This window comes from Homo sapiens, chromosome 12 (assembly GCF_000001405.40).
Source record: "Homo sapiens chromosome 12, GRCh38.p14 Primary Assembly".
NCBI lineage: Eukaryota > Metazoa > Chordata > Mammalia > Primates > Hominidae > Homo > Homo sapiens.
This window is the reverse complement of record NC_000012.12, coordinates 127048012-127075144: the sequence shown is the minus strand read 5'-3', so window position 1 is coordinate 127075144 and position 27133 is coordinate 127048012. Positions and strand designations below refer to the sequence as shown.

At 40.2% G+C, this 27133-nt stretch overlaps 1 protein-coding gene and 1 long non-coding RNA gene across 4 annotated transcripts in view; one reads left to right on the top strand and one right to left on the bottom strand.

The window, feature by feature from the left end:
- Positions 1–14644, bottom strand: part of LOC107984449 (uncharacterized) — a 97530-nt gene extending 82886 nt beyond the window's left edge. For all 3 annotated transcript variants that reach the window (XR_007063517.1, XM_047429960.1, XM_024449289.2), the window contains exon 1: positions 13811–14644. The gene's annotated coding sequence lies outside the window, so the exon portion shown is untranslated. The remainder of the gene's footprint in view (positions 1–13810) is intronic.
- Positions 14645–14747: 103 nt separating this feature from the next.
- Positions 14748–27133, top strand: part of LINC02405 (long intergenic non-protein coding RNA 2405) — a 145171-nt gene continuing 132785 nt past the window's right edge. The window contains exon 1 of the long non-coding RNA NR_104646.1: positions 14748–15058. This is a non-coding gene — a long non-coding RNA (long intergenic non-protein coding RNA 2405). The remainder of the gene's footprint in view (positions 15059–27133) is intronic.

The following is a 27133-nucleotide window of genomic DNA, read 5'->3' as shown; positions in this document are numbered from 1 at the left end:
TGATACCCGATTTGCTAATAGCCTAAAACTTTCCTACATAGGTAAGTGCAAGAAAGAACAAAGGAGAGGAAGTTGCTTACGAAAGGTTTAAGGAAGCAATAACATTTCGAAATAAGGAAGGGGCACAGGATGTGAGCTGGGATGTGCCTGTGAGCATGTCCGACAATTACATAGGATAGGGCTTAAAAAAGAGTTATTAGCACAAAGCAAGGAGGCTTGAAGAAAGTTAGTCTTTAAAATAAACTATTATTTCTAACAATTATGATTTATTCTTTAACAGGGGGGAACATTGAAGAGGAAACTTTTTACTTTCTACAGCAGGCTTAATTCCATTTCCCTTAATTTCCCCCTTGACATGTAACACAATATATTAGTATATTCTGGGGATTAAAACTTAGAGTACATTATTCTGCTAACATACTTCCCTAATGCATTTCCATTGCAATACCCACAACTTGTCACCTTTTCCGCTGAGCATTTGATCTTAGCCCAAATACTACCTGGATTTAAACAATGCCTCTTCTCACTTGGAAGAGAACGCTAGAGTGAACGTGGAGCAGATGTCATTGTCGTAGTGAAATGCAGTGAAGGCTTTTCTACGACTACTTTAAAATAAATTTTTGTTTGTGACCTTCAGCAGCAAAACAATCCCCTGACCTTTATGACTAGTCATGGAATTGTCACCATTGGAAATTAATGTTCTTACAGTTCTGCTGCTCAAGAAATAATTGCTTTTAAATTGCTCCAGGGAAATGTCTTTCTTTTGTGAATGCCTCATTAAGATTTTATCAATTCTGCTTTTATTTTTTTCTTTTTACATTTAAATATAAGGATTCCTTAGGCATTTTCAATAAAAGTTAATGAGTTATACGAAATCTGGTTGTAAAGTGAAATTTCTTATGTTGAATGCTATTTCCTAATGGAGTTCTTCTTTATGAAGGTAGAATTACAATGTGGTTCTTCTCCTTAGTACCAAAAATATAGAAATATAAAGGACAGCCTCAGTGAAATGTTATTCTTGGAGCCCAAGTTATGGTGCATCAGTATCAGTTTCTTTCAATATTAAATGAATAGGTCTCTTTACTGATACAACCTTTCCTCATAGTCTAAATTGTACTTGACAGAGAATAACTCGTAGTGAAAGCTAATATATTTCTGAAGCAACCTAATTGTTATGTTTTATTAAATAATAATAATGTAATAATTTATATAAAAAACAGATGAAAGTGAGATGTTTTTTATTGTATAAAATGACCAAATTGATATTAAAAGTCTAAAATTTTCGGAGGGCAGATGCTTTAACAATTCATCTTGTAAACTGCTTAGCATGGCTCAAAACTTGAAGTCCTAGATAAACACTTTTGTGGAAATAAAATATTTCAGGCCCTTTAGCTTTAAAAAACTAATTAGATGATTCATGAAGGTTTTATGTGAATGTCTTCTTTCTCCCAAGAACACTATGTTTCTCTACAATATAGCCAATAAAATTATATTGTTATAATAACTTTATTTAGTAGAAATCACATCTTTATTTTGAATATCATGATTCTGAGAGAGTGAAAGCTTCAAAGACTTGTCCAAAATCATTCAATTGTATATGCAGAACTGGATTTAAACAGGAATCATTTTAATTGTGTGAATTAGTTTCCATATATTAATATATCTTGCATATTTTTGTTTTTTAATTCATTTCTCAAATAAAAAACAATAACCACAACTATTATTTTTGCCTAACTAACCTTGGAAATGTTTGAAATAAATTGTATTTGTCATGTCTAATATGCTTCCCTGGTGGAAAGTTCTAATGACCATTTGTTCTATCCATTTTTTTCCAGAAAACATTATCTAAGTCCGAGAATTGAGGGTTTTTTTTTTTTCTGTAAGAGTGATTTTAAAAGACACTTTGAATATTAGAATTTATCAATAAGAACATATCCTGAAACCAGAAAACAAATTAAAAATATATATATGCATTTTATGCACAAAATTTTCTAGGATAAACCTAAGAATCTGTTAGAATTTTAAAATTAACCAATAAGTTTATAGAAATATAATAATCTGAAATCAGAGGGGAAAAATAAAAATTGAATATAGGAAATTTGATGCAGGCTTTAGAAAGCAGGTAGGAGGACCAGGTAAACAACTAATCAGTGTTGCCTCTCTATAAGTCCAGGTCTGCTTTTAAGGTAGCGTCTTTCAAACTACGGGTCACAGCACAGCAGTGCTGTGAAATAAAGTTAGTGGGTTGAAACTAACATTTATTTTGTAAATCAGATGGAATATGCTATGTCAGAATAAAAGATAACAGAGCCAAACAGAATAGAATGGAATGGAAAATATTTGACAACATTGCAGCAGGTAAGGAGGGTAAATGTATATCTGAGAAATTTTGCTTTAGTATATGTGTGTGTACACATGGCTGTGTGCACATATGTATTGGTCGAGATATAAAATGTGTTTCTCTATGTGAGTTGTGGTCAAAACATTTGAAATCTACTTCCTTTAGAACTTACAACTGTAACACTTGATGTTCATATTAACAGCAGAGAAAAGCTATGTATTGGGTGATATGGATGAAGAAATAATACGGATCCTTGTTATTGAACATTAAAACACAATAAAAATAGCAACACCGACAACATCAATAATAATAATAATAGGCCAGGTGCAGTGGCTCACACCTGTAATCCTAGGACTTTGGGAGGCCAAGGCGGGCAGAGCGCCAGAGTTCAGGAGTTCGAGACCAGCCTGGCCAACATGGCGAAACCCCATCTCTACTAAAAATACAAAAATTAGTCGGGTGTGGTGGCAGGTGCCTGTAATCCCAGCTACTTGGGAGGCTGAGGCAGGAAAATCACTTGAACCCGGTGGGCAGAGGTTGCACTGAGCAGAGATCGTGCCACTGCACTCCAGCCTGGGCAAAAGAGCAAAACCCTGTCTCAAAATAATAATAAACATATAAAATTACCATGTGACAGACTTCCAAGTGCTTTACATTTATTACCATTAAATTCTCACAACTCAACTGTATGAAGTTCTATCATCCCAATTTTAGAGTAAACTTAAGCAAAAAGATGCTAGCAAGTTGGGGAACCAGATTCTAAAACTGGCAACGGGTCCATTATCATCCCATGCACCTTTGCACTGTTCCTTCTTGATCTCATGGAGACTGAAGGTGAGTCTGCTTTGGAAAGCAATGAAAGAAAATAGAAATTGCTTTGACAATCTTATTAGCATGTGATCTATTGATATCAAGGATCTGTAGTTTGCGAAGTTAGGCCACAGATCAGGAGAACAGGTGTTTTCTTACAGAGCAGCAGTTCCAATACCTGCCAGTAGCTTCTTGGAGTAATAGGTAGAGAAGAGTTCCCAAATGCTGGGCTGACCAAGTGGAAAAAGCAAAATGCTGCAAGTGATTGGAAACGTCTGCTGTAATGTAAGCACAGGATATGAGAGAAGAGACTCGCTTAGCAGGTGATTACCATTTATCCATCTATTCATTCATTTAATAAATGCATTTTGAGGTCCTAGTCTGTGACTGATACAGTGACATTGTGATATAACTCTGACCCCAAGGGGCAAAGTCTCTGTTCTTCTGAAGCTTATATTCAATTAGGGAAAGCTGGTTAATGAAGCAAATACATAAACAATGATGTAATAACTTTTTCGGAAACGATCGTGCTCTGAAGGAATGAGAAACAGAAAAAAAACATACAAATTACTCGTAACTAGAGGGGGAAGAGTTGCTGTTTTAGTTACGATGGTCAGGAAAGTTCTTTCTATGAAAACAATATTTTAGCAGAGATTTCAGTGAAGCAAAGGCATGAGAGAATATGTTCCAGGCAGAGGGAAAACCGACTGCAGATGTCTTCAGTGTCTTTAGTGTGACGCTTTGCAAGTGCTCCTTTCTTGGACCTGTTCACTATATGCTTCGAGTTTTAACCGTTAATTTGGGCCTGGAAGGCTGGGCACTGACATTGACATGCTAGCAGTAGTCATCCTGAGGGAGTGGGATAGTGGGAAAAGAGGAACCCCTTTCATTTTGTGGTTGTGTTATTGGTGAATAATACTACATATACATTTTTATTATATTTATTTTCCAACAATCACATCATGCTTGTATATTAGATGCATTAAATTACTTACTTTTTCTGTTCATCACATACACACTACCTTAGACTCAATGCAATGAGTCATGGGACTGGCTGAGCAGACACCAGTCTTGTTTTCCTGTGACCAACAGGAAACATTTTTGGGCAATATTTTTTAAAAGGAAAAAAAGCTATTGATTTTTTTTGCAAACAAGCACTTGTATTTCCACGTTTCAGTGAGTTAGGTAAAATCATCATAAACAAATGGGCCCTGAATCCCTTGCTCCTGCCCTGATTTTCTGTTGTGGTTGCCATGGAGACCCAGGCACATTCAGGAGCTACGCAGAGGTTCCAAGTTAAGGGATAAGACAAATATGACTAATAGTGGATGGGCTGGTGCAGGTGACACCTGCAAACTGGGTCTTGCAGGATGGTAAGTGCCATCCATCACTTTGGAGGAGGCACTGGAGTACCAGCAATCCTGCATCAGTTGCAAGGCAGAGGCTGAGAATCCTTCCAGGAGGACAACCCATGCTTTTCCCTTTGCACCCAAGTTCAAAGAGGACACAGTGAATGAGAGCGCTGCCCCAGAGACACCACCCAGTGACCAGTTTCATAAACCGGGATATTACAAAGCACAGATAGCTCTGGGATGGAACAGTGCTTTTGGAAGTTCGTAAAAGTGGAATAGTTTGAGAACCTGATAACACGAATGTTCCATCATGTATCACTTTGGTAAATTTTTCTTCAAAACAATCTGTGCTTTTTTTCCTGTCTGCTTCTAGTATTATTTTCCAATTTGAACCCATGATGTCTTTTATTTATTTGCGTCTATAATTTTCATAAGGCATTTTAAAAAATTGACACTGATCTTTCTACCAGCAAAAAAGAGGACTGTGGTCATTTTCGGGGAGAGTTAATAATGCTTCAAAGTGCTGGAACAAGAGAATGAAGCAATCATCTCTCTCATCAGGCAGCTCCAAAGCATTAAATCTACTCCAAAACAGAACTAATGCCCAGGTATAATTTTAGTGATGACTGAAACCTGAACTAATTGACAATTTCAGTTTAATTTATATAATAAAAGGTTTTTAAATATCCAGAACTCAAACAGATATTCATCAGACATTTTATATTTCAATTCCAGTTTTTATTATTTTAAAACATTTTATTTTCTCCACTTGAAAAAAATGATACAGGGGCAGAAGTACAATCAGATATCATCAGTTAAAAAGGCAATTAGAATAGTGGAAACCAGGTCAGGTGCAGTGGCTCACGCCTTTAATCCTGGAACTTTGGGAGGCCAAGACAGGTGAATCACTTGAGCTCAGGAGTTTGAGACCAGCCTGGGCAACATGACAAACCCTGTCTCTACAAAAGAATATAAAAATTAGCTGGGCATTGTGGTGCACACCTACAGTCCCAGATACTCAGGAGGGTGAGATGGGAGAAAAACCAGAGCCTGGGAGGTCCAGGCTACAGTGAGCCATGATCGCACCACTGCACCGAAGCCTGGGCAACAGAGCAAGACCCAGCTTGGTGACAGGGCAAGACAAGACCCTGCCTCAAAAATAATAAATAAATAGGGGAAACTGGATGCAGGGAATATGGAAATTATCTGCGCCAAAATCCAACTGAGTGTACCAAATCTAGCTCTTCAACATCAAGTGTTCCATCTGGATATAAATGCATTCACAACTGTAGTTTGCAAACAGTGTCTCTGAATGGAAAACAAAATTGATGCCTCTACTTGACTTTATTTGACTCTAGATTCTGGGTTTTGAAAAGATAAACCTAACGTAATGGGGAATCAGCATTTTTGGCTCCTTTTATGAAGTCATGGGCACAGCTACTTGAAGAGGGTGACTGCTGTGACATGAATTAGAAAACATGCGGCATTGCAGGTTTTGAGTTGCTGTTCCTGCACCACTTTGTCAGAAACAAACCCTTAAAATTTAAATGGCATTTTCTCCAATTCCAGGAGTGTTTCAGTTGAGAAAAAAATGCTAATGTTAATCACTGAAGAATTTTCCTGCCTTTCACTAGGCCCTGGTTTAAGGACCACTTTAGATGCCAATGAAATGTTTCTTGCAGATGTTAATGAAAAACCTTCTGTTGAAGATGGAAAAGTTACTTGATGTGTTTTATTGCCCTAAAATCAAAGTGAAAATTAGCTTCTTATAGACTCATTGAAGGAGCTGAAATAAACATGTAGTTCCAAATGCTATGACTGTATTTGGAATGAGATGATTGAGAAAGCATTTTTTTCTTTTTCAGATGTGCATCCAATACTGATTCTGAGACTCTCTGCTCAGAATTAACCTTTGAGAGGCTGGGAGACATATGCATCAGTCTAACTAAACCAGAGAAATGTGAAAAACAAACAAATAAATAAAAATAAAAATAAAAGAATCAATGAGCTAGGTATTGGATGAGAGAAAACGTTTACTGCAATTGTAGGGAGAGAACTTTTTTTTTTTCAGTTTGATGGATTTATTTGCAGAGAACCAAATCTGCCGCTGGGAACAACTACAAAAGCTGAATTTAAAAATAATGATGTTTTGGCTGGGCGCGGTGGCTCATGCCTGTAATCCCAGCACTTTGGGAGGTCAAGGCGGGTGGATCACGAGGTCAAGAGATTGAGATCAGCCTAGCCAACATGGTGAAACCCCATCTCTACTAAAAATACAAAAATTAGTCAGGCATGGTGGCGTGCGCCTGTAGTCCCAGCTACTCGGGAGGCTGAGGCAGGAGAATTGCTAGAATCTAGGAGATGGAAGTTGCAGTGAGCCAAGATCGCACTACTGCACTCCAGCCTGGCAACAAAGCAAGACTCTGTCTCAAATAATAATAATAATAATAATAATAATAATAATAATAATAATAATAATAGTGTTTCAAAGTGTCAGGAAGATACCAAGGTAGCTAAGATTTAGACAAGATCTTTTGGAAAAGAAAAACTCATTGATATGAAGCCCAAACTCTTCTCCTTGAAGCATTTTCTCACTGTGACTGCAAGAGGGAAGGACCCTGAGGCTGAGCAGAAGCTCAGCCCAAAGTGACAGCTCAGCAGAGCTGCTGGAAGCCACAGAGGATTGAGAGACAGGAATTGGTGTTCTGACCTTCCAAGGCAACCAACTCTTGACAGACAGTGATCCCAGAGACAAGGAGAATATAGGGAATAAGTCAAAACTGAGCCTCTGTTTGCCTGTAAGACATCTGCCATCTCTTAAACTCACCAGGGTAAGGTGGTAAGAACACAACCAGAAAGCAGGCTCTATAAGGCTAAGAAGCTGAGCTTAGGTTGTGCTTATAACATGGTCAAACATTAGTGTTGAGGCCTACCCAGAAGTTGGGCCTTTATACAAATAACCTGGGCTCTCTATTGGGAGCAATGAATGGCTATGGCCTAGGGTTAACAGTGAACCAGAAATAATAAAGACAAAAATGAATGTTGGGTTCGAGCTCAGATTCCATCACCTACTGGATGTAAGACCCCAAATCAACTCAATCCACGGTTGGATGAAGGTTAACTGCACCCAATCTAATGGCAGGTCAAAACTAAAATAAAATCTCTCTGGAAAAATATGATACCCAGAGTCTCAATTTTTTTATATAAATGTTCAAAACTTTATTAAAGGATATAAGAACACCAAAGTAATTCTGATATACTAGACTAAGAGAAAATCAATAGAAGCAGACTCATTAAATTTCATTTTGTAAATACTGATTAACAAACATGATTAATATATTTGGCAAAATATGACTTATGGAGTAAAAATAAAATGGAAATTGTAGAACTGAGAACATAACTGCCAAGTACTCCATAATCTTTCTAATTATCTTTTACCTTGATTTAGAGTTTTTCCAAAGGATTAAAGTGAGATTAGTAAACCAGGAAACCTCTAAGATCATTAAACCCCAGGATCTTTGACATTCGCCAGTCACTGGGTCTTTGAGATAGACACATGTTAGTCTATGTAAAGTGTTAACCAGAATCCGTTTCTCTTCCAGTCTAGTTCTGGCCTCTGGTTGCAGACCAATTAGTAAATTCACATACATGTCAATAACTCAGTCATGCCTTAGTGATATCAATGAGGTGAATAAGAATTCTGCACATACTACACTGTGGTGAGCACTGCTTAATACCATCCAAATTACGGCAAGTGATTGGGATGGGGGTTCAGAAAGAGAATGACCATACAGGTTAGTGTGGTGAGACTTGAGCTTTCTTGGCTAGCATCATGGACAATCACTCTTGTGAAGGAATCATTAATTTGAGTGTTCCTATTTCCCATCACATGCAGATTCAGGGGGAAATTCTTCCAAATCTCCTCTCCTGCCTCTTCTTTTACAGTGTAGAAATACCTGCCCAAATCAAACAAAACTAACAAAAGTAGCCAATCTCATGAAGCTCATGTTCTATACACATAGGAAGGCCCCTTAGCACCTTACTATCTTAGAAGTTATTTTGCACATTAATATTAATATTGTGCAATTGGCTATTTGGTGTCTAAACCCACAGAAGATAAGTTAACAGCAAATCAAGAAACAGGAATGAGCAACAGGTAGGTGATGCGAGAGCAAATAAAAATAAACACTATAACAAAATGAAATATATATACACACATACACACAGCAAAAACAAGAGCTTACAAAAGCATCCATTTTAGCCTCTAATTATTGAAACAAATAGTTCGAATGACTTCAATAACCCCGACATTTGCCTCCATATGTCTACACAATATCAAAATGTCTATCTATAATTATTATATTGAGTCATGATTAGAAATTTAAAAAATAATCAGTAGAGCTAGGGAACAAAGTAATATTGTAAAAATAACCCCTTCCCATCTAAAGTACCAAACACCTACATGTGACTTGCCACATGATAAGCAGTGTTCTAAATGCTATCTGTCTAAATTCAATTAATTCTCATAATGACCTTATGGGCTGGGTACTATTTACTGCACTCCTTTTCTAGATGGATAAACAAAGATAAAAAGAGACTAAGTGAGCTGCTCACAGTCTCACATCCAATAGGTGACAGAATCTGGGTTTGAGCCCAGTCTTATCACGACTCTTGCTCTTAATCTATTTGCACAATGAATTCAAGTAGCTTAAGATTTTTACTTTTTCAGAAGAGTATTTAAATGCTATAAAGATTAAAACCACTGAAAGCACATATATGTCTTCAAATGTAATAAATACAGTTGGTGAAGCCCCATGGAGGCTAATGTTGCATCAGCCATTGTGAGCTGGTTTAAAATGTCTAAAATGAACAAATGTGGTAAAAAACTTATTGTAAAAGAAATTCTACAAATATTTTTAAGTGATAGAAATGTTGGTCAAAAATAATAGTGTGTTTGCATTACCAAACACTTGACTATATTTCTACTGGATGCCCATTCACCTCCTGTGTTTGATGACTGATGATTTCTCAGGAATGGAACCATGTTTGAAACGGAATATAAATGTGCATTTGGAGAACTGAGGCACTGAATAAACTCTGTGGGCTGCAGGTTGCTGATGGATATGTGACGAGGTAAGGGAGATCTGTGTTGTTCTGGTGCTACCATTTATAAGCTCTTTTTTCATGGGCAAACAATTGTTTTATAGCTAGCCTCATTTCTAACCTTGTTAGATCTGGAAGACTAATGGTGCATTGGCAGAATACTGGGGGCCAAAGATGTCCAAGTCCTAATCCCCAGGATCTGTGACACCACTAAGAAGACTTTGCGGATGTGATTAAGGTTACGGAAATTGAAACAGAAGGATTATCTTGGATTATCTGGGTGGTCCCAACATAATCGATGAGCTCTTACAAGCAGGGAACTTTCTCTGCTTGTAAGTCAAAGATATGTAGCAGAAGAGGAAAGCAGAGTTCAAATGAGACAGATGAGAAAGTGGAGATTTTACAAGTGTGAGAAGGTCTGGACTTGCCATGGAGATGGAGGAAGGAGGCCATGCTATGAACCAAGGAATATGGGTGGCCTCTAAATGCTCAGAAAGACCCCCAGAAGACAGCCAGCAAGAAAATGGAACCTCGGCCCTACAGTCTCAAGGAACTCAATGATGCCAAAAGCCTAAATTAAGTTCAAAGCTAATGCATCCCAGAGCTTCAGAAGCTCAAGACTGCCAAGGTCTTGGTTTCAGTTTGGGGAGGCCTGTGTTGGATTTCTAGCCTATAAAACTGTGAGAGGATATATTTGTGTTCTCTTAAGCATCTATGTTTATAGTAATTTTTAAAGCAACAATAGGAAACCAAAACGTGTCATCTACTTCACAAGATTAAAAAATGAATCACGTATTTTTATTTTCCTTTTTCCTCTCCCCACCCCCCCCTTTTTTTTTTTTCTTGAGACAGTGTCTCTCTCTGTTGCCCAGGCTGGTGTGCAGTGGTATGACCTCAGCTCACTGCAACCTTCGCCTGCCAGGTTCAAGCAATTCTCCTGCCTCAGCCTCCCAAGTAGCTGGAATAAAAGGCACACATCACCACGCCAGGCTAATTTTTGTATTTTTAGTAAAGAAAGGGTTTCTCTGTATTGATCAGACTGGTTTCAAACTCCTAACCTCAAGTGATCTACCAACCTTGGCCTCCCAAAGTACTGGAATTACAGGCGTAAACCACCGCACCAGCCAAGTCACGTGTCTTAGAAGCATGCCTGGCAGATAATAAATTCTCCATCAACGTTAGCCATATAATTCATTACAAAGTTGAGAAGTAAATGAGACAAAATCCCTAAAGCACTTGGTATACAGCCTAGAGCCTAGCACACAGAAGGTGCCTAATCAACAGTGTTTATTGTTATTTAAAAAGAGATCTTACTTGTGAGCTATAAGAGAGCATGTGGCTTTGTGCAGAGAAACTGTAGGACCCTCTCTGCCTTGTTTCTTTGCTTTCATAAAAATATTGAGATATCTAACTTAGCTGAGAAGCAACTATAGACTTAAAGAAGCGTACTAAAAATGAAGTAATTTTTTGGAATTAAAAAAAAAATAAAAAAGGATGAAAGAGAGGTCAGATTGCTCTTAAAGCAAACTTCCTTGACCTTGGGCTATGTTTCCTGAAAGCTTCAGGAGCTTTTTCTTCGTGAAACATTTAAATGTGTCCCTTTTATATCAGTAATAAGGGCATTAATGGAGGAGGTCAGGGCAGGCAGGAGCAGGCTGGGTGACGTGTGTCCTGGCCTTGTCAAATGGTGTCACTCTATGGAAAGGCAGCATTAAATTTCTGAAAGTCAAGTCAAGCAGTATGTCCGACCTGGAAACGTTTTGCCTTACCACAGCTAAATAATTAAATGCTGTCACGGCTCAGCGTGTTGCTTAAAGTTAACACATCAGGATTTGCATTATTCTTAGCCACGGGCACATTTTTCACCAGTTTTAAAACCCTCACAATAACTGGAATGTCCTGTCCAGCCCTTGTGCACACGATTTTCGAAGCATAGCAGCTCCTCGAAACAAATGTATTTAGTCAGAATAATATGTCCGTCGCCAAGCAAAGATGAATCATGATTTGATGGAGCTTGAAATTAGTCTGTAAAGCTCGGCGGGAAGATGGGTTTCACCTGCCTGCCCTATCCATTGTTTACGCCTCCAGCGTGACTCGGAGACGTGTTCAGGGCTGAAACTAGGAAACCAGGTGACACTCATCTGTTACATAACAGGCCTTCCCTTTTTCCCTCCTTTGTAGCACTGATCATGGGTTCAATTAAAACAGAATTTGTGCAATTTTCCAGGGGCCGCATCAACAGAGAAGTGACAAAAACAAACGAGTAAATCAGGTCGACTGCAGCACGGGAGGGTTTGTGCAAACCAGAACACGGTGATTTATAAATACCACTTGAAAATGTGACGTGTACCCATTTTATAGATAGAGATACCTGAAAAGAACAACTGCTACTCACAGTGAATATTAGGACCATAATTCACACCTATGGTAATTTCCTAAAGTAGAAAATGTGTTTCACGGTCTAAAATAGTCATGGCATACCATACCTATAACTCCTGGGACAGTGTAAGACTTTGCCAAGCTGACTCCAATTTAGCAATACTTCATGCTTTTTAAAAATGATATAAAAAGGAAAGGGAAATGGGGAGCCTACTTAATAGAACCAGCTTTCTGATGATACCTAGGAGCACTAGTTCCCGTAGGAATGGGACATTTTATTTCTGTGTTTGTTTTGCTGTCGTAAAGCATCATTTTTGTCCTACTTCCATATGTTATGGGAAGATTTCCATTCATCTCAGACTTTCCGAACTCTCTTATTTAGGGAACCACTTGAGTATACGTTGTTGAAAAACATATAAAGCTTTGGGTATGGTGACAAGTGGTTTAGCAAAACAGTTAATTTATATCTTGAAAGAAATAAAGGAGAAATGGTGGACTTGAAGTTGCAGCTTCTAGGAACAGAGATGAGAGATGGAGGAGCAGGGAAGAGAGAGGAAGGGGAGGGGATGGATGGAAGGAGGGAGTGGGAAGAAAGACAGAGCCTTTCTTAGAGTCTGCACCCTTAACTTTCTGTCTCTGAGTTACCTCCCGCTCCCCCCGCTCACCCTGCCCTCTAACAAAGGAGACACAGTTATACCCTATTATCAAGATTTTTATTGTATTTACTCTTCTTGTTTCAGTCCCTTTCTTTACCCTTGAAGCCTTAAAGTAAATCTGTGACACCTGCATTGCTTAAGGATTTCCTTTAGGTGATTAAATGAGATCAGGGTGGTGTCTATTATGACACAAACAAAACAAAACAGTACTATGATGGGAGGTACAGGAACCCAGAGATGGAGGGAGAGGCAGGGGTAAGAACAAGAGCAGGCATCTTCCTTCCTCCCAGGCACAGAAGCAAAGGGAGGCTGTGGTGCTGACATCCCCACTGTGTAAGGAGGGGGAGGGCTGGAGCCCTGTGTTTGGACACAGAAGAGAAAGAGAATCTGAGGGATACCAGAGGCAGGGCATCTGGTTTACCCACAACATCGGTTAAATAAACATCATACTGATTTTACCATTAAAACTGGGTCCCAAAAGAGTCATTTATTGGAAACTGTTTATCTGTTTACAACGCCTGTGTGTATGTCCTCGAAAATAATGTGTTTTCCTTAAAAACCTGAGTGAAGAATGTCCCCAAATGTACCATCCTGTATCTACATGGCCTGATTAGAGGCCTTAAGTTCCAGGTGTCCTTTAATTCCACTGCTCTGCGTTTTGCTCTCATGACCAAAGAGAACTGTCACCGTAAGCCTATCACTATGTATTTTCTGAGATGATATGAAGGAGGAATACTTTCAATAGTAAAAACTAAGAGAGGGACGTAATACCATTGGTTCAGTGTCATCTTACACATCTTCTGAAATATCTAGAGGAGAACAAACAAGTATAAATAAAAAGACTCCTTTTCCCCACTTACCCATTGGCTAGTAAAACCCAATGATTTGTAGCACCATGCATTTTTCCCTTCCTAGTGGCCTAGGAAAGATGCTCAACAATTTTCATTATATTTGAATGTTGATGTCAACTTGTCCCTAGGAATGAAGGGCCTTCAAGCAGTTAGGCAAAATACTGTCGCACAAGATTCTGTCCTGCTTCTGGGTTGCAGGAACCACCTGAATTGCCATCTAACCCCTGGGGCAAGTCCAACAAGGAACTGGCTACCTGAAGGAGGTGCCCCAGGCAAAACACAGATGAGGATAACAAAGTTCCACGGGGAGGAACCTACCTGGAGAACAACGAGAAGAGTCCTGCTTCAGCTGTGCCAAAGAATGGGTTCTTTTTCTTATGGCAGCCACATGCAGCCACAGCGGTGGTGTTGAAATGGGAAAGGTTCCCCCGTCCCCCTTGCAGGGCGTGCGATGGGGTGTGCTCGCCTCTTCAGTGCCCCGTTGGTCATACCTCTAGTGGGGCATAGAGATGGGCAGGTTGTGGGGCTCCAACCCCATGGCAGTGTCTAAGGGTGGATGTTTACAGCTGAAGCCCCAGAGGGCGTGTGTTCCAGGGTGCGCTCTTAGTTCACGGTCTATAGCTCAGTTAGACCCTCTACCTTGTCATAAGGCCAGAGGGCTTTCTGTATCCCGGGTTCTTGCCTTGGTGTACCGGAAGAATCGGATCACACGTGGGCTTGGAGAATGACTGCAAAATCGTATTGAGTGGAAGTAACTCTCCACCGACAGGAGAGTCAGAAAGGAGATGGTTTTCCCCCGGAGTTGGGCAGCTCCAGAAGGGAGATGGCTTTCCCCTGGAGTTGGGCCGCTGGGTGCCCGGGCTGTCCTCCTACTGCCCAGGACAAACTCCACCTCGTCCCACCGGTCGATGGCCTGCCGGGGAGCCCGCGGGCGAGCCGGCGTCTGTAGGTGTGTTCTTCTGCTGACATGCTCTCCGTGACCAGCCGCTTCTGTCTTCTTCCACTGATGCGTTCCTCTCGCCCTCCAGCAGCTTCTGTCTCTGCCTTGCTAGGGTCGTGGGTGTTTATAGGCCCAGGCTGGGGGCGTGGCGGGCCAGGGTGCTCTTGGAAAAGCAGGAGTGCCTGTCCTCGCCTAGGTCCCTGGGGCTAGAGGCCTAGTCACGGACTCTGCCCTTTCTACCCCGCGCTTTCCTTCCCGGCTTCCGTATCATTTAAAGGGACCGTGCTCTTCCTTTCCCAGCACTCCGGCTTGAGTGTTAAATGGCCAGCAGGAATTATCCACTAGAGAAGCGGAAGGGAGAGAATGGAAATGGCCGCATGCAGCTCCTCTCCCTCAGACAGCTCGGGGCTCAGCGGAATGAGCACAGTCTGCAGGACAAGTGCGGAGGACTTCAGTCCCCTCTACTGTATATTGGCTTTAGGACTCAAGTTGTCCCTGAAATAGAGGAAGGTGTTTTCTAGGGTAGTGGTAATTATCACAGTCAAAAAAGTAGGCGAGAGCACTTAGGAAAACTGTGCGGAGATCGGCTGCTGATGTGTAAATACTGCTGAAGCTGCTTATTCAAGGTAATCTGAATTTCCTTTTTTAAAAGTGGACTGAAACTCTGCTTTCTCATCAGAAGACTTTTTTTTTTTTTTTTTTTTAAGATTCTAACTCCTTTTGTCTGCTCTGTCACTTTTCTGAACTTTAAAATCTGTCAACTTTTAGGGAGGAAACAAAACCCGAAACATGAAATATTGGTGATTGTTAGTAACTCTTTCTGGGTTCATGGCAAAAAAAAAAAGGCAGTGGCTTTTTAATCTATGGATTTTATTAACCTTCCCTACATCAGTGCCCCAACAACTGCAATGACTGAAAAATATCTGTTCTGTTCTGAAATGGCAAGTCTACTTTGGAAATAGGTGGCATCCTCAGGACCTGGGGAAAATGTTTGAGACAGAGGATGGGCTGGCCTTATTATTATTTGTATCATTGTGAAAATGAGCTTCAATTTATATTTTACATTCACCCATTACTCTCATGGCCCAGATATGTATTTGTACTAACTCAGAGATGATAAAGAGGTAAGAGGTAGTTGGAATATGCTACTGGATTTATTAATTTCAACTTGAAGGCATATCCAAAAATTTCATTATCAGGAAATAGATGAAATAGCTAATAAGCATATGAATAACTATGAATTTTTTTTTAATTGTAATTCTCAGAAAACCAAAACTCCTACTGAACACAACTGGAAGTAAGATGGACAAAAATTAGTGAAATCAAAAAAACTAACATATAAAACAAACCCCCATGACACAAATTTACTTATAGAACAAACCTGCACATGTACCTGTGAACTTAAAAGCTAAATTTAAAAAAAGGCGGGGCAGGACTGGGCATGGTGGCTCATGCCTGTAATCCTAGCACTTTGGGAAGCTGAGGGGCAGGCAGATCACTTGAGGTCAGGAGTTCCACACCAGCCTGGCCAACATGGTGAAACCCCATCTCTACCAAAAATACGAAAATTAGCCAGGCGGGGTGGCAGCGCATGCCTGTAGCCTCAGCTACTAAGGAGGCTGAGGCAGGAGAATCCTCTGAATGCTGGAGGCAGAGGTTGCAGTGAGCCGAGATCTTGCCACTGCACTCCAGCCTGGGAGACAGAGTGAGATCTTGTTTCCAAAAAACAAAAAGATAAAAACAAAACTAAAATATTTTATAAGTCCAAACGAGATCTAAGACATTAAGAAGAACTCCACGTCAGGCTCCAGAGGATTAAGGAGACCCTACTAGAGCATAACGGGTTGTTTTGCTTTATTTATTTATTTATTTATTTGAGATGGAGTCTTGCTCTGTTGCCCAGGCTGGAGTGCAGTGGTGCAATCTTGGCTCACTGCACCCTCCACCTCCCAGGTTCAAGCAATTCTCCTGCCTCAGCCTCCTGAGTAGCTGGAACTTTAGGCACCTGCCACCACACCCGGCTAATTTTTGTGTTTTTAGTAGAGAAGGAGTTTCGCCATGTTGGCCAGGCTGGTCTCGAACTCCTAAGTTCAACTGATCCGCCCTCCTCGGCCTCCCAAAGTGTTGGGATTACAGGCATGAGCCACTGCGCCTGGCCAATCATCGCAGAGTTTTAGGCTTCTGTGCCTTGAAAGACAATTCCAGCAAATGTGCGTGGGAAGCTCAGAGACTGAAGATGCCTTTCCCAACTGTGCGAGACAACAGAACACAGGTTGCAGGCTAGGAATGGACTTGATTGGGGTCTAGGGTGTGTACTCCACACTTTTTTATCCAGACCATGAAAGCCTGCCTTTTTGGGACTAAGAGTAAGCAAGAATTAGATCATTTTGTTAGACTGTCCTGACTTGAAACTTCTCCTGGGTGCTGCTTCCACTTTCTGAAATAAGGACGACCTCTGTCTGGTGACTTTTCCTATCAAAATGTCAACAGTGGTATTTATTATACTATTTAGTGTCATTAGTCACCATTAATTGTTTCAAGTGCTTTTTCAAAGTCATTAGCTGAAATCCTCCAGCTCATTCAGCGATGCTTTCAATTAATCCACTTAAAGAGCTCTTTGTATCACAACCTATATGTGCTTGTTAATGGGTGATTAGTGGGTGGTATCCAATATTTTCTTCTTGAGACAATTCACAACTAAGCAGGGGTGGAGATGATGTATACACAACCCGAGTGGATTATGCAAGCTCCTCTTCCAAGTAGTAGAAATAATAAAGATTTAACGGCTATTTTTACATCTAAGGCTTCCCATGTTTTAAGGGAAAAAGAAGTTTGTATAGCTATGGCATATTTAGTCTTTCTAAAAGCTAACTACAGTCTTCATGCACAGAGTTGGGGGAAACACCATGAACACTGAACAGAAAAAATAGAAATAGCCCCCATGTACCACTTTGGAATATTCTTGCACAAACGTGAGATCCATCTTTTATTGAAGTCTGTGCTCAGCATGGTTTCATTTTCCAATAGCAGTCCCTTTTCTATCCAAGGTTATTTGAACAGAAATCAAAACTGGCGAGTTTCATGAGGGTGGCCAGACATGGAGCAGTTGGAACTGAGGTGGACAGGGAAAGGGCTGAGCTGACGGTGGGTCAGTCAGGTGGGACACCAGGCTCACAGAAGCCCAGCAGGAAGCTGAATACGAAGCTGACCTGCAGAGCTAAGTAACTGAGCATCTCGCTTCTGGAAGGAAGAACACACTACCTAAGTTGAATTTCTCTTTCCCTCACTTACAGGGGAACTATTAACCTCCCCATACCTCCGTTTCTGCATCCTCAAAATGGGGATAATAGTTTATCCATCTCACTGGGTTGTTGGAACAATTGCATGAGATAATGTGTGCTTGGCATCTTCCACACAGGCCCATCTGATCAGTGAACATGGGACCTGGTGCCAACCCCAGGGCCTCTGCACTGGGTCACCTGCTTAGAGTCTCATCTTCTGGGTCTTTCCATGGCTGACTAACTCTTCATTCAGATTTCCCTCCTTAGGGAGACCTTCCCCAAGAATCTTTAAAAACTATTGTCTGGAGTTTATTTTTGTAATAATATTCACCAGTGTCTGAAATGTCATTAGTTTATTTGCTTATTGCAGTCTCCTTGCCCCTAGAATGACCTCCCCTGAGCATCGGGACCATGTTTGTCTCATTTCAGCTCAACCATCCCAGCATTGAGCATTGCGCTGTCACAAAGCAGTTCCCAAATCAAACAGAAATTCCACATGAGTGAATAAGTGGATATGTGACTGTTGGGGAATGGATCAGCAGGGTACAGGGCCAGGTATCAGCAGCTCCAACAAGGAGAACAGTACGCCGAAGGAACCTACTAGAACAGTACACTGAAAGAAACTATTAGAACAGTACGCCAAAGGAACCTACTAGAACAGTACAAGAAACCTACTACAACAGTATGTTGAAGGAACCTGCTAGCTTGATACAAGAGTAACTGTGGTTTTTGCCATTAAAAGTAATGGCAAGGCTGGGAGCCATGGCTTACATCTGTAATCCCAGCACTTTGGAATGCCGAGGCGGGTGGATCACTTGAGGTCAGGAGTTTGAGACCGGCCTGGCCAACATGATGAAACCCCATCTCTACTAAAAAGACAAAAAGTAGCTGGGTGTGGTGGTGCATGCCTATAATCCCAGCTACTCAGGAGGCGGAGGCAGAAGAATGGCTTGAACCCGGGAGGCAGAGGTTGCAGTGAGCCAAGATAGTGCCACTCAACTCCAGCCTGGGGGACAGAGGGAGACTCTGTCTCTAAATAAATAAATAAATAGGCCGGGCATGGTGGCTCATGCCTGTAATCCCAGGACTTTGGGAGGCCGAAGTGGGTGGATCACCTGAGGTCAGGAGTTCGAGACCAGCCTGAACAACATGGTGAAACCCCATCTCTACTAAAAATACAAAAAATTAGCTGGGCGTGGTAGCGGGCGCCTGTAGTCCCAGCTACTCGGGAGGCTGAGGCACGAGAATTGCTTGAACCTGGGAGGCGGAGGTTGCAGTGAGCCGAGATCGTGCCACTGCACTCCAGCGTGGGCAACAAGAGCAAAACTCCCTCTCAAAAAATAATAATAACAATAAATAAATAAATAATGGGAAAAACCACAATTACCTTTGCACTAACTTAATACTTACAGAATCTCTACTTTTCTCCATCATAATTTTTGAGAAACCTTCTTATTTTTAGGCTGCTGTGTCAAAACCCTTTTGCCTGGCAGGCCTGCCCCATCTTCCCCACAAGAAAGCACTGCCGGTTTCCTCCAGCTTAGAGCCCAAGGCTGTGGGGAAGACAGTGTCAGGATGGTAAATATAAGGTGTGGCTGTCAGTCTCCCTCTGTTTCTGTGCTTGATGAAGGCAGAGGGAAGGACAATAGTGCATTTGAGCCTTCCTTTTGAAACCGACTTTATGAGAGAATGAATGGCAACAGGGACAGTAGCCACATCAGCAGCAGCAGCAGGCACTGCAGGGTTTCCCCAGGCCTGGTGCTGTTTCCTACACGGTATCTCGTTGCTTCTCACAGTGGCCCAAAGAGGTAGCTACTATTATTATCCCCATGTTACAGTTCAAGAAATAGGCTCCCCAAACTTCTGGACCTTCCCCAAGGTCATGCCATGGATACAAATCAAGGTCAGGAATCAAACTCAGGCCACTGAACTGTAGAGCTTCCATGTTTAACCGTGAAGAGTGTTCCAAGGAGACAGCTCAAGTTGAATAAATAAAATAAATGAGATAAGTAGAAGGACTTATGTAATCATGTAAGAAGGAAGTACATGAAAAATATGTATGTTTGTGCTTGATTGATTGATCAATTGATCAGTTGATTTAAAGGAATCATGGAGACTGAAGACAGTGGGAATAGGAACAGTCTAAGCCCTGTGCAAAGGTAATAAATACTCTTTTTTTTCTTAGTAGTTTCCAGGCAGCAATGTAGTATCATGAGCAAATATTATGTTTTCGTTTTTATTTCACAAGAGAAGGCAGAAACCTAGAATTTGATATGATGTTTTCACCCCACTCCTCATTTTAAATAGGTAATTAAGTTTTTTTAAACTTTGAACAGGCCAACACAAAAGGATTGAGACACCAATCATGGGGGGCTAATATGGCCTCGAGCTATCGGTTTCAACCTCTAGTTTTGGGGATTGGTTTAGGAATTGGGCTATACTGAATTATCCCAGGAGAGCTGTCTGTTTTCTGTGTGTACAGTGAGGATTGTGGGGGTGGGGACTTGCTTCTAAGTATGTTTAGAAACCCATCTCGTGAAGGTCATAGGGGTCTGCTTTTACATTCACAACATGGACTTCACGTCTGAACCTAGAGGCGGGCGTGGAAGAATGAACTTGTATAATTGGCCATGAGGCACAGCACAGAAAGCCTCCTGGCACATTAAGGACATTATCAGTCTAAGAGGATGGATGTTTTTCCACATTCCACTAATGTCTCAGCATTGTGAGGAATGTAGACCTTGGCTTTGACTTATGAATTCAAGAATGAAGACTAATGATAGGGAAAACATAATTGTAACCCTTCCTCCTACCTTCCTCCTTCCTGCAGGCAGCTCCCTCACTGTTGCAGGGGCATCTTTCCCGTTAAGCAAATGAGAGTTCCACGTGCAAATGGTGTCCTGGGATCAGGGCGAGATGATCCCTGTCTGGATACATTTTAATATTGCGTGTGTTGTTTCACATCCTTAAACATACTCTCAGAAATATGTTTAGCAATCTAACAGAATTGAAATCAAGTTTAATGTAAAATTACATTGATTTTCTATAGGTCAAAAGGGTGCAATTAAATGTGTTTTTACTATATTGTTAAAAATCAAGTTACTACTATCCTCTGCCTGTTTGATTAAATGATGACATACTCCACATATGTAAATGATGCATTTTCATCATGAAGGGATTGAGTCAAATTGAGGGACCGTGTGTTTTCAGAGAATGAGATCTATGAATCGATGAAGGCAAGAACTGTTCTCAGTAACAAGTGGAGTCTTACTGTATTTGAAGAAAATTGCATGCTTTTGCTTTGCCTTCAAATTGGGCTTTGTTGTTGTTGCTATTGTTTTCTGTTTAATCAAACACGAAGTTTAAAACTCCAAAACTGCAGGTGTCGTACTTGTTCTATAAGCCAATATCTCCCTGAATCTTGTGCCCATAGCTAGCACTCAAATGTGTATGTCATTGCATACTCCAAGTAGTTAGTTTTCTGGATACTGATATTTAAAATTCCTAAATGTCTTGGTGTTTTTAAAGATGATCAATATGGCAGAACCACCATCAACTTGGAGATTAGTGTCGTGTGTTCTCATCTTCCATACATCTTGGATAAATCACTTATCTCAGATGGTAAAATGAAGCCATTAGAGCTTACTGGTGCCCCTAGGTAGACAGCGTGTGCCTCAGCTGCAATGAGAGGTGATTTTAGGTGGCACCAGCCTCCATATTAAATGATATTAAACCATATGGTGAAAAACCATTTCCCATTATAATTCTCCTTTAGTCTGCCTGGTTGCATGAAGCAGAAAATCTGTTTGGTGAAGATGTGTTTTTTTAACTTTTTAATCCCCCTCTCTAACAACGGGAGAGCCCATTCCGGCTCAGGGATGAGCACCTAGCTGGAATTTTTATTATATTTATTCATTTCTATTGAATTTGTTTTGAAGGCCAGACATAGTAACTTTTCTAAAAATCTAGTGACCTTCCTGTCCATCCTTCCTCTCTTGCTGTAGTCCTAGGCTATCTCAGCATGTGAACGACGATAGCCTCTAGGCTAGGCAAGAAATTATAGCCGAAGACGGAAATTGAAAAGCTGAGATAGTAGTTGAATAAGGAAACTTACATGGCCAAATGGCTTTTCACCTATGGTGGAAATCATGTTTGTGATGGGAGGTTGTTTATACCCTCAACTTTGTGATAACTAACTTGCATCTTGTGGCCTCAATGACTTTATTCTGTATCTTCAATGCCATATAAGTGACCTGACTTCACTTGTTAGCAACCAAGCAGCCCACACCTTGTCTTGGCTTTATACCTACAGGCCTCTGTGTAATTTCCTGGTGACTCAGGCAGATCTATACCGAAAAGGCAATAAAAACGTGTGTTTTTCCCATTATTCTCTTTACATGAGCGAAAAACTCAGTCCTTTGTCTATAATTCTCATTAGTCATTGATTACTCACAAGGGGCGGGAAGGAACAGAGACCCAATAACAGTAGGGAGAAAGCTCCTAAGCATGTTCCCTGGGGAAATACAGTAAGAGAAAATTCCCTGGTGAGCCTTTTGCACAAAGCATTGCACTGAGAATTATAAAGCTAGAGAGAATATTTCGATGGAATTAATTGCACATGATTTTTTAACTAGATGGAAATTGACTAGCATATTATAGCTCCCTTATTACATTTAAGTGCACTCAGCGTATACTGTACAAATGCCACAGATAAACCATCTGCCTCTGCTAGGGCTTTGATTCATTATGAATAATCTTTGCACAACCTGCACTGTCCTCTACCCAGGGGCTTCCCACATGCTTCCTTATACTGAGTTCCCTGCAAGGATTCGGTGCTGGTGGGTATTTAAGAACATTGCATCTGACCAAGCAAATGCAGTGTTAAAAAAAAAAAAAAAAAGGCAATAAGAAAACAGAGGAAAAAACACACACAATCCCTAAATCGCTACAAAGACTGTTTTCAATGCATTGTGGCTGCTCTCATTATGTTTCCAGTACCAATCAAAAAGTTGACAAAGCTGTTAAGAAAATAGCGTGTATTTCTTCTTTCCTGATGTTGTTTCTATATTCACACCATCCAGAGCCAGCTTCCCAATCATAGAGGAGGTAATGATATTTTGCAGAAACAATGGTTGGTATTGTGGAAATAGACTTTTAACAAGTATGTGATGAGCAGATGGTGCTATTTTTGACTCTGGTAAAAAATTTGATTTTAATAATAAATTTATTTTAATAAGAAGCTGTGCAAACCAAAACTGAAGACATGTGATCAGCATTCTCATTCAACAATGGGTTATGAGCTTTCAGGCTTCTGAAAGAGTTGTTTTTTTTTTATAGCTTCGTCTGTCTTTTCTTTCCTGTTTTGGAGAGAGGATTTCTTCCTTCTACCATTCCAGAAGTCCCAACAAATCATGATTATAATTTTAAAACTGGAATAAAAACTTCCATTTGAATAAAAGGAATACATATTATTAGAATTTGAAAGAACCAGTATAGCTGAAGAAGAAGGCTCATCTTTTATTCATTGCATATATCTTGCATGAGACTACTTTACTAGTTTGAGTTAACGTATTTATTTTACGTAATCGTGGGAACGTTTGGGCTATGGTAATTTAGTGACATTTTACAAAAACATAATTTTGCAGGGACTTGGACAAACTAACTGTTCTGGTTCCTTTCTTAATTTCCCAATCTCAGATGAGCTCTAAGTCCTGTTGCCACAGGCCTGTGGTCCTCATATGAGTCCAGCATATTTCCAGCTGCTGCTCAACACAGTCCCACTCAGCACAGTGTGCACTAAGGCACCTCAGTGGGCAAAGGGAACACAGGTTACTGTTGTGCTTTTGACCGTGTGCATCTGTTCACCTCTCCTCCGAGTGCATATCTCCTGACCAGGATCACGAGATGAAAATGTTTTTCTTACTCAGATGCCTGAAAACTAGAAGGCAACAAATGAATTCTTAGTACTCTAGGTTAGCAGTCCCCACCTTTTTGGTACCAGGGACCAGTTTCATGAAAGACAATTTTTCCGTGGACAGGGAATGGTTTGGAAATGATTCAAGTGCATTTACATTTATTGTGCTCTTTATTTCTACTATGATTACATACTCAGCATAATGTAGGATCAGTGTGAGCCCTGAGCTCATTTTCCTGCAGCTAAATAGTCCCATCTGGGGGTGATGGGAGACAGTGACAGATCATCAGGCATTTGATTCTCATAAGAAGCTCACAATCTGGATCTTTCGTATGCAAGCACAGTTCACAGTAGGGTTCACACTCCTGTGAGAATCTATTGCCACTGCTGATCTGACAGGAGGCAGAGCTCAGATGGTAATGAGAGCAATGGGAAGTGGCTGTAAATACAGCTAAAGCTTTGCGTCATGCTTGCCTGTCACTAACCTCCTGCTGTGAGGCCCAGCTCCTAACAGGCCACAAACTGGTACTGGTCCATGGCCTAGGGGTTGGGGACCCCTGCTCTAGGTTTTTCAATAATTCTTGGTTTACACACTGAGCATGGCTTCACAGACATAGAAAAACAGAAATCACGCAACCATTGAAGTTTCTCTGATCCACAGAAAAAGAAATAAGCATCAACTATAGGCTGGTAGAATTCAACTTCTGTTTATCTTGATTGAGGAATTCAGGTCTCCAGATTGGGGAGAGGATACATTTCTGTTGTTTTAAACTGCCAAATTTAGCTATGTGCATGGCAGTGCTCAGAAAGGCATTCAACAGCTGGTGCTGGTACAAATGTTTGCAAATCAATGGAAACCTAAGATGTGTTGCAATATTTAACTTAAACCTGTTTTCTGAGAGAGTCATTATATATATATAATGTATATATACACATTTTATATATATTACAGTATACAAATATAGTATATATATTATATTACATACATAATATATAAATATTATTATATATAACATACATATAATGTCTACCTTTGAATTGTATTGTTAAGAACAATAACATTCTGTAATATCGTTTTTGTCAAGTTCAGGGGCCAATGATTTATGCAACCAAAGATAATTAATATACAAACATAAGGTAAAAGTTCTCCCTGACTCCATGGCTGCTTTAACTTGCTCCGAAATCATGCTTTTGGGGTTTTTATTGTTTAAATTGCTTTCTAAATAGCATTTTAGCCTTTATCCGGACACAACTAATCATTAAAAATTCAAAGACACATTCATGGTATCTTTATTGTGATAAAAGTAAATTAGATGAAATAACTTATTAACTCCTTTTTTTAGGAAAAGATGGCCACTTTATATTTTGTTCCTTTTTCATACTCCCTATTTCTATAAAGTTTACCTAGATGCTCACTGCATTTCCAGGTAGGCAAGATAGTTAAGGAAGTTCAGAAGGAATAGTTTGTTCATAACAGCTTTCTTGAGATATAATTCACACACCATAATATTCATCATTTGAAAGTGTATAGTTATTATCCTTCGCCCAATTTTTAATGGGGTTGTTTGATTTTTTCTTGTAAATTTGTTTAAGTTCTTTGTAGATTCTGGATATTAGCCCTTTGTCAGATGGGTAGATTGCAAAAATTTTCTCCCATTCTGTAGGTTGCCTGTTCACTCTGATGGTAGTTCCTTTTGCTGTGCAGAAGCTCTTTAGTTTAATTAGATCCCATTTGTCAATGTAGGCTTTTGCTGTCATTGCTTTTGGTGTTTTAGACATGAAGTCCTTGCCCATGCCTATGTCCTGAATGGTATTGCCTAGGTTTTCTTCTAGGATTTTTATGGTTTTAGGTCTAACATTTAAGTCTTTAATCCATCTTGAATTAATTTTTATATAAGGTTTAAGGAAGGGATCTAGTTTCAGCTTTCTACGTATGGCTAGCCAGTTTTCCCAGCACCATTTCTTACATAGGGAATCCTTTCCCCATTTCTTGTTTTTGTCAGGTTTGTCAAATATCAGATGGTTGTAGATGTGTGGTATTATTTCTGAGGGCTCTGTTCTGTTCCATTGGTCTATATCTCTGTTTTGGTACCAGTACCATGCTGTTTTGGTTACTGTAGCCTTGTAGTATAGTTTGAAGTCAGGTAGCATGATGCCTCCAGTTTGTTCTTTTGGCTTAGGATTGTCTTGGCAATGTGGGCTCTTTTTTGGTTCCATATGAACTGTAAAGTAGTTTTTTCCAATTCTGTGAAGAAAGTCATTGGTAGCTTGATGGCGATGGCATTGAATCTATAAATTACCTTGGGCAGTATGACCATTTTCACAATATTGATTCTTTCTATCCATGAGCAAGAAGACATTTATGCAGCCAACAGACACATGAAAAAATGCCCATCATCACTGGCCATCAGAGCAATGCAAATCAAAACCACAATGAGATGCCATCTCACACCAGTTAGAATGGTGATCATTAAAAAGTCAGGAAACAACAGGTGTGGAGAGGATGTGGAGAAATAGGAACACTTTTACACTGTTGGTGGGACTGTAAACTAGTTCCACCATTGTGGAAGACAGTGTGGTGATTCCTCAAGGATCTAGAACTAGAAATACCATTTGACCCAGCCATCCCATTACTGGGTGTACACCCAAAGGATTATAAATCATGCTGCTATAAAGACACATGCACACATATGTTTATTGTGGCACTATTCACAATAGCAAACACTTGGAACCAACCCAAATGTCCATCAGTGATAGACTGGATTAAGAAAACGTGGCACATATGCACCATGGAATACTATGCAGCCATAAAAAAGGATGAGTTCCTGTCCGTTGCAGGGACATGGGTAAAGCTGGAAACCATCATTCTGAGCAAACTATCGCAAGGACAGAAAACCAAACACCGCATGTTCTCACTCATAGGTGAGAATTGAACAATGAGAACACTTGGACACAGGATGGGAAACATCATACACCGGGGCCTGTCGTGGGGTGGGGGGTGCGGGGAGGGATAGCATTAGGAGATATACCTAATGTAAATGATAAGTTAATGGGTGCAGCACACCAACATGGCACATGTATACATATGTAACAAACCTGCATGTTGTGCACAGGTACCCTAGAACTTAAAGTATAATAAAAAAAATGTGTATAGTTCTATGGTCTTTATTATGTTCAAAGAGTTGTGCAACCCATCACATCTATCTAATTCCAGATGATTTCATCACTCCAAAGGGAACTCTGTACCTGTGAGCAATTCATTCCCCTTTCTTCCTTTTCTCACTCCTGGCATTGCTAATCTGCTTTTTGTCTCTATGGATTTGCCTATTCTGGACATTGTGCATACGTAGCATTATACAATGTGTGACCTTTTTATCTGGCTTCTTTTACTTAGCACAATGTTTTCAAGGTACATCCATGTGCTCTCCTGTAGGAGTCTTTCTTAGTCTCATACAAATTATATTTGTTAAATTAAAACTTCTTATAGTATCGATACTATGCAAATG